Below are 7,680 nucleotides of genomic sequence, written 5' to 3'. Positions count from 1 at the left end.
TCTTAGAAACATTTCCTTTTCTCTTCATTTGAGCAGCATGATCTGCCTGCGTCTTTCAGCACTCTCAAGAGTTGCATTTCCATAAAAGTATTGAGCTCTGAATTTGAAATGCAGGTACACAATTGGGCACAAAGACAACGAACTGGAATGTTTTATAGCACTCATGTGTTGAAGTCTTCTATAGTGCAGACACTTTGCTAGCTGTCGGGTTAAGTAAGCACCTCAAGCATGTGACTACATTAGGATGCGATCACCTTCAATTTTAGTTACAAATGGTGCCAATAATAGCACTCCATCAACTATTTCACGTGGTAGAACATATCTGCTCTGATTTCCTTAGCTCTAGCTCCTCACCTTCCTCACCTCATTTTCTATCTACATACCTATTCTGTAATTAAATTAGTGAAATCACCCCAAGTGAATTCAAAATGACAATTACCACCAAAGAAGATAATAGAAACTAAGAATGTTCAAAAGACTAAAGGTTGAATTCACTACACTGTTTGCTTTCATCCACTCTAACAATTCATAGATCTTCATATATCAGAAATGAAGCCTTTTTACTATGCACATATTCAAGAGATTATAAGCTATCCCTAAAAATCAGAGTGCATTAACATTCTGTGAATGCTTTTTATGCTTGCTTATCTTTCTTGTTTTCCCCCTGTCCATTTTAAGGGACCAAACTACAAACTACAAACCTCATTCATGAAACCAAAAAAAAAAAAAAAACAAAAAAACAAATAGCAATTTCTGTGTTGGAACTGCAACCTCTCAGCATGTTTTTCCTCTAAGTGACATGAATTTTGTGCCAGATTCTAGATAATTGACAGATTTATGCATGTGCATAGTAACTGGCTTGGTGCCTTTTCTCTCCTGCAAAGAGGAGCTTCTAAAATGTCTTAAGGCCCAGCCAGAAACTTTAGCACATTTTTTGAGCAGGAAGTAGGACTCGTTGTAGTCTTAAAACAAACCTGCTGGTGAATAAAGTCATAATGCTCTGGAAGTGAGGCCATTGCAGGTTAAGAAAGAATAAAAGGGTTGTTGCTTTGAGGCTGCCAAGCTGTAGGTCAAAAATGCATTGCTTAAAAATGAAGAAATAAACAACAAAACACAAAGAAGGAAAAGATATAAATCGGATGCTTCCAGAAACTATTCAGATTCATAGTTGCTTGCTTTCCGGATCTCACTGTAACAGTAAATTAACTTTATTGACTATTTCACTCTATTTTACACACATGAAAAAAAGTGGGGGATCAACCAAATGAATTATATTTAGACATCCTTAACTTAAAATCCACCAAAAACATGTTAGCAATTTAGCATTTTACATTGTTTGGGGGTAATGCAAACTTACTCTGAATTCTTTCCTATGCTGCATTTCACTGTAAACATCTTGAGTAAACAGATCATGGGCCCTAGTGTTTAATCTCTAGTATCATATTAATAATATTTTGATTATTTGCACAATGTATATTCATTATATTGTTTTATCTGAAATCACTCTAAGTTCTTTGAGGTGCTATGATTTGAACAATGCCTCATTATCTTAAATGTACCAAGGAAACTGATTCTATTTAACACATCAAATGAGCATTCTTGATTTTTAAACAGAATAATTTTCACAGGAATGAAATCTAACAACCTTTGTATTTTACTGAGCAATAATGTGCTATGCATCTGAGCAGATCCAAAATATATAAGATACATTCTCAGATCTTAGAAAGCTTACTAATAACACTATAAGAAGATACTTAAGTAGTTAAATAGTGGGAAATTATACATTCAAAAAGAGTAGAAATGACTCAGTGCAATAAAAAGAAACAAAGAATAACATTTCCAGGGAAGAATAATTAAATTTAAATACTTGTTGAGGGACATTTTTTCCCCACAGTACAATAGAAGAGATTAACAATGGTACAACTCCAAAATAAGTATGCATATAAGTCACTGTTGCAATATTTATAATACCATATGATTTAAATACATATGATACTATGTTAGTTCAAGAAGGGAGGGAACAAGTTTGGTGAAAGGAACTATTAACTGTTTGATAGTAAGATACTTAAACATGCTCAAAGGAAGGGATTTAAACAGAGGAAGACATGCTAGTGAGAACAACATGGGTGAAGACGTGGAGGTGATTTTCAGTCATGCACAGAATTAAGATTCCAATTTAGGTAGAGTACAGGCTGCACGTTGTGAAGTAGTGGGAAAACAAACAAACAAACAAAAAAACTTCAAGCTTCTATTGGATTATAATAAAGAATGCTTAAATCCTTCATAGAGGAGTTGAAATGTTAACGGAAGGAAATTTTTTGTCATCCAACACTGATAATCTGATAAGCAAAATTATTTCATAGCTAGAAATATTACAACAATAAAATAGACAAAAAGTATATTGTTTAAAATCAAATCACATGGAAGTGATAATATTTTTTAAAATTATACAAGATTCCCATCTAATGAATACAAGTATTTGTAAATTCAGGAAATAGTGCTTGATGAATTTTTGATATTTGTGGTTTCTCAAAAAAGTGACATGTTTCACATCTCTTATCACTTAGGTACATTGGGTACAGATTTAATTTGGAGTTCGCTTGCAGTCAGCCTGATTAAAATGTCAAATTTTAATGTAAACCAAACATATTTGGAGGAAAGAACACAGGAACCAATTTAATTAAAAACTTCAATCCCAGCACTGTAGTTTAAAGTTTTTCTCCAAGACACAAATTTAACTTTTTTTAAAAAATTAATCATGGGTCTTGTGCTTCTTTGATTAATTTATGGATGACTTAAGTGTCCTCAGAAATACATAACAGGAGAAAATAAGAAAGATATAAATCATATCCTATAAGTAGAGCCGGAATGACCCAAATAGAGGCCATTTACAATCCTAATTTATTTAAAGAATAGGCAACTTGACACCTATGCTAAATGAATTGAATGAAGCAATTAATGTAGTTTTCTCTTTTCATTCACATCCTTCCCATACTGTTGATCTCGGACATCTTCTTTGACTAGTAGACATATTTTCAAATTGATCTAATGGTATTAATGAGAGGGAGTATAAAATAACTCAGTGAGAGGTAAACGGAGAGCAGGAAATCAGCACTCCTAAATTCAGTTGCATGTCTAACTACATCAGGCATTGCTATTAGTGTTCCTCAGTTGTGATCCTAACCAAGTGCTCTAATCACATTTGAAGATACATTCCAAATTCGGCAGTCATTTACATGCTTTTGCATTGTTAATACGTGATCAAAATATGACAGGTACGTTTCAAAATTTTTAGTCCAATTTCAATGCCAATAATACTGGGTAAATATAATTTTTGCTTTTCCTATACAACAGTTAAATAAAATTTATGACATGCTGCAAAGCACTTTTTTTAAATTTTTTAATTTTTTTATTTTTTTGAGGCGGAGTTTTGCTTTTCTTGCCCAGGCTGGAGTGCAATGGCGCCATCTCGGCTCACTGCAAACTCTCCTCCCGGGTATAAGCGATTCTCCTGCCTCAGCCTCCCTAGTGGCTGGGATTACAGGTGCCTGCCACCACACCCAGCCAATTTTTGTATTTTTAGTAGAGATGGGGTTTCTCTATTTTGGCCAGGTTGGTCTTGAACTCCTGACCTCAGGTGATCCACCCACCTCAACCTTCCAAAGTGTTTTTTTTTTTTTGTTCCCCCACATAAAATCATCTCTAACACAGTTCACAATTGTAGGTTAGGAACTATGATTTACCACTAGGCTATTATTCTATTCATGCAAAGCAGAACGAAAATCTCTATGACCATATTTAATGCACAAGAATATGAGATGACGTGATCAAAAATAATTATCAGTTTTATTTTTGTTCTTCTTCACCAGTCCGTCCAACAGGCACTCTAGTTTTACCTTTTGATTATTTAAATAGATGACTTTTTTTTTTTAAATCTTCTTGACTATTGTCATGGTTCTGGTTTCTATCATTTATTATCTTGGCTTCTGTAATAATCTTCTAATTTCAGTTCTTCCCATCACTTAGAAAACTTTCCTCAAAGGTATAATTGTAACCCAAAATATCAGAATGTTTGCTTCTTATGTGAAAGAAAATTTAGAAGCAAAAACATAAAGAATGAGCTAAAAAAAAGATCCAAAATTCTCAATCATAGTTTCATTGGCCCTCCTGACCTGGCCTTGCCCATATCTCTAGTTTTCTCCTTGGCTAATTCCTATAGGCACGCTCTGCTGGAAACACTCCTCTGTACATTGTATTCTCCTGAAATTTGTTTTTTTCCATATGTGTTCCTTTGCTTTCTGTTACCTGATATTTTATTTTGGAAACTTCCTCTTTAATATTCATGTTTATCCCATAAATTTGTTACGTAACTTTCCACTATAACATTCATTACTTTTTCTATATATTTGTTTGTTTTTCTTTTTTTCTTTTTTTTTTTTTTTTGAGACGGAGTCTCGCTCTGTCGCCCAGGCTGGAGTGCAGTGGCGGGATCTCGGCTCACTGCAAGTTCCGCCTCCCGGGTTCACGCCATTCTCCTGCCTCAGCCTCCCAAGTAGCTGGGACTACAGGCGCCCGCCACTACGCCCGGCTAATTTTTTGTATTTTTAGTAGAGACGGGGTTTCACCGTTTTAGCCGGGATGGTCTCGATCTCCTGACCTCGTGATCCACCTGCCTCGGCCTCCCAATTGTTTGTTTTTCTTGACTTTTAGACCATGAAATATTAAGTGCAGGAGATCTGCTTTATCTTTGTATCCTAAGGGTTAACAACCGTATAAGGCATGTAAATAGGTCCTCAATATTTTTTGAAGAAGGTGAGAATAAAATCTTCCAGAGTCACCAGGCCGCATCATACAGATCATATTTGTATTTTTATAGCACTAATGACTTCTTCTATTGTAGAAAATGTTTACAAAGTAATGTAATATATTGTTTAAGTGTGTATGTGTGTTCTTCATTAGACAGTTACCTTCTTTTGTAAAAAACTGTCTTATTTATCTGTTTTACCAAGTACTTGGAAGGGTGCTTAACACTAAATAGTGATATTCATTGATTATTGAATAATTGCTCAAATTCTTTGATTATTATAGCAATTCTGAAATTTGCTTAACTGGATTCACAAATTATAGAACAAGAATTTCTTCTTTGCTTGTGTAAAGTTGGATATCTTTTATTTGCAGTTTCTGTTAGAATTCCCAAGCTGATTAATTCCATAGACATACATATACATAATATATATAAATATATATAAAAATATATAAAAATATATAAATATATATAAAAACATAAATATATATATATATAAAATCAGGCTCCCTACTTTAAGTAGTATTGAGTAAAAAGTTCATGATTCTTTAGGACAGTTATAATCAAGTCCCTCTTCAAATAAAAATGTCTACATTTCTTTCAAATACAGTATAATTACATGCAGGAAAGAGACCACTAAAATGTAAATGGGCAATATCTAGATAAAAAGGTAATATTCAGAAATATATATATCTATGTATATATACCTAAATAGTCAAATTCTAGTTTTGTAACTTTCTGTAGCTCTATGACTTTGGGCAAATTATTTTACTGTTCTGTGCCTCAGTATCCTCTACCATAAAATGAAGATAATCTTAATGCGTAACTTCTTTAGTTATCATGTGGTTAGAATAGGTTAATTTATGGAAAAAGACCCTACAAAACTTCCTTGAAGATAGAAAATACTCATTAATATAAACCATTATTAATTTTTTGGGTCAAATCAACATATGATACCATGTTAATTTAAATTATGCCACTTGGGAAAATGTTTGGTTTTAAATGCAAACCTTAGTATTTTGAAAGGGGCACATGTTACGTTTTCAAATGACATATTTACATTTATCAAACAGATAACTAGAATAATTATGTCAACATATATAATATTTATTAGCTAATTAGATATAATGCATCTGAAAATAGTAAAATCATTCAATGTAAAAAAGATGTTTAAATTTTCATATTGGAAATCTTTAATTGCTTGGATTTTTATCATCTCATAACTGAAATTTCCTGAGTTTGATAAAAGCTCTGCAGCAACAATGTGTTCGTATCAAATTTGCAACAAACTATATAATTTAAATTTTCACTTTAAGAAAATAAAATCCAAACAATAAAAATGTTGTTTTCATTTGATCAGATTACATGGGCCAATGACACTTGACCTTCTTTAGAGATTAATATAAACTTTAAATGGACAAGAAAAATCCAGAAGCTTGAAATTAGAAGAGTGAAGCTTAACACTGAACATAGTCTTAGCATTACTATTGATATAAAATACCCTTATTGAACAAAAAAGTATATTTCTAAAATATGTTTAAAATATTTCAACTCAACTAGGATGTATTAAATTTTATATTAATGGTCAAGTTTTGATAACCTGAATCTCTGCTAATTTATACAAATGTTAAGTCAATTGAACATTTATGCCAGTGAGATCAGAACTTCCCACTGTACATTTTTACATGAAAAAAAATTAGTCTACTTTTACAGATAATGGCAATATCTCCAGTCATTAAATTGCTCCCCAAAGCACGCTCTTGGCATATTAACTTAAGACCAAAAAAATCAGGAGAAAATCTCAATATGTAGGGCTGCTTTTGGAGTAATCAACTGTATTAACATTTCCAAGATACACCATACTTTTGCTAATGTCAACTATTCTGCTTTAGAATTGAGATTAGAAGAAAAGTTTACATAAGATTCCCCATTTTTGACAGCATTTATTTTGATTATATTACCATGTTTGCAATAGAATAGGTGTTTAGTAGATATTGAGTATAATAACATAATGAAATCACCTAATATTTGTTTGTTTCTTTTTTTTTTTTTTTTTTTTTTTTTGACGGAGTCTCGCTCTGTTGCCGAGGCTGGAGTGCAGTGGCGGGATCTTGGCTCACTGCAAGCTCCGCCTCCTGGATTCACACCATTCTCCTGCCTCAGCCTCCCAAGGAGCTGGGACTACAGGCGCTCGCCACGAAGCCCGGCTATTTTTTTGTATTTTTAGTAGAGACGGGGTTTCACCGTGTCAGCCAGGATGGTCTCAATCTCCTGACCTCGTGATCCGCATGCCTCGGCCTCCCAAAGTGCTGGGATTACAGGCGTGAGTCACCGCGCCTGGCCCGAAACCACCTAATATTTCTTTCTTAATTGTTCAGTCGCTAGTGCTATTTTCCATTATTTTGCTTTCTCTTGCATAAATGAGTCTTGATGAGGAGTTTGAATCAGAGGATTGGTTTAGGAAACTAAAGAAAAATGTACAGGCTGATAATTGAAAAAGGGAACACAAAAGACTAATATATTTAAGCTGAGTTTAAAGAAAAAACGAAAGAGAAAAAGAAAGAAAGAAAACATTTCTAGAGTAGAAAGGAAATAAGATGAATATATCAAATTTTTTAAAAAAAAATAGGACCAATAAAAAACTTACGGAGAGCAACATAATAATAACCAGAGAAAATAATATTTTTGTAAATAAATTTTTAACTACTGTAAGGAATAAAATGTTGCATTAATGAAAATAATAAATTATTAAAACATATAGAGCAATAAAAGTTAGAAGGGACAGAAAGAGATACATAAGGTTAGGCATTTTCATATGTTAAAAATTTTGGCTCTATTATATATTCTATGGTGTATTGAAAGGAGATTATTATTAT

Source organism: Homo sapiens, chromosome 4 (assembly GCF_000001405.40).
Source record: "Homo sapiens chromosome 4, GRCh38.p14 Primary Assembly".
NCBI lineage: Eukaryota > Metazoa > Chordata > Mammalia > Primates > Hominidae > Homo > Homo sapiens.
This window is presented reverse-complemented; position numbering follows the sequence as displayed.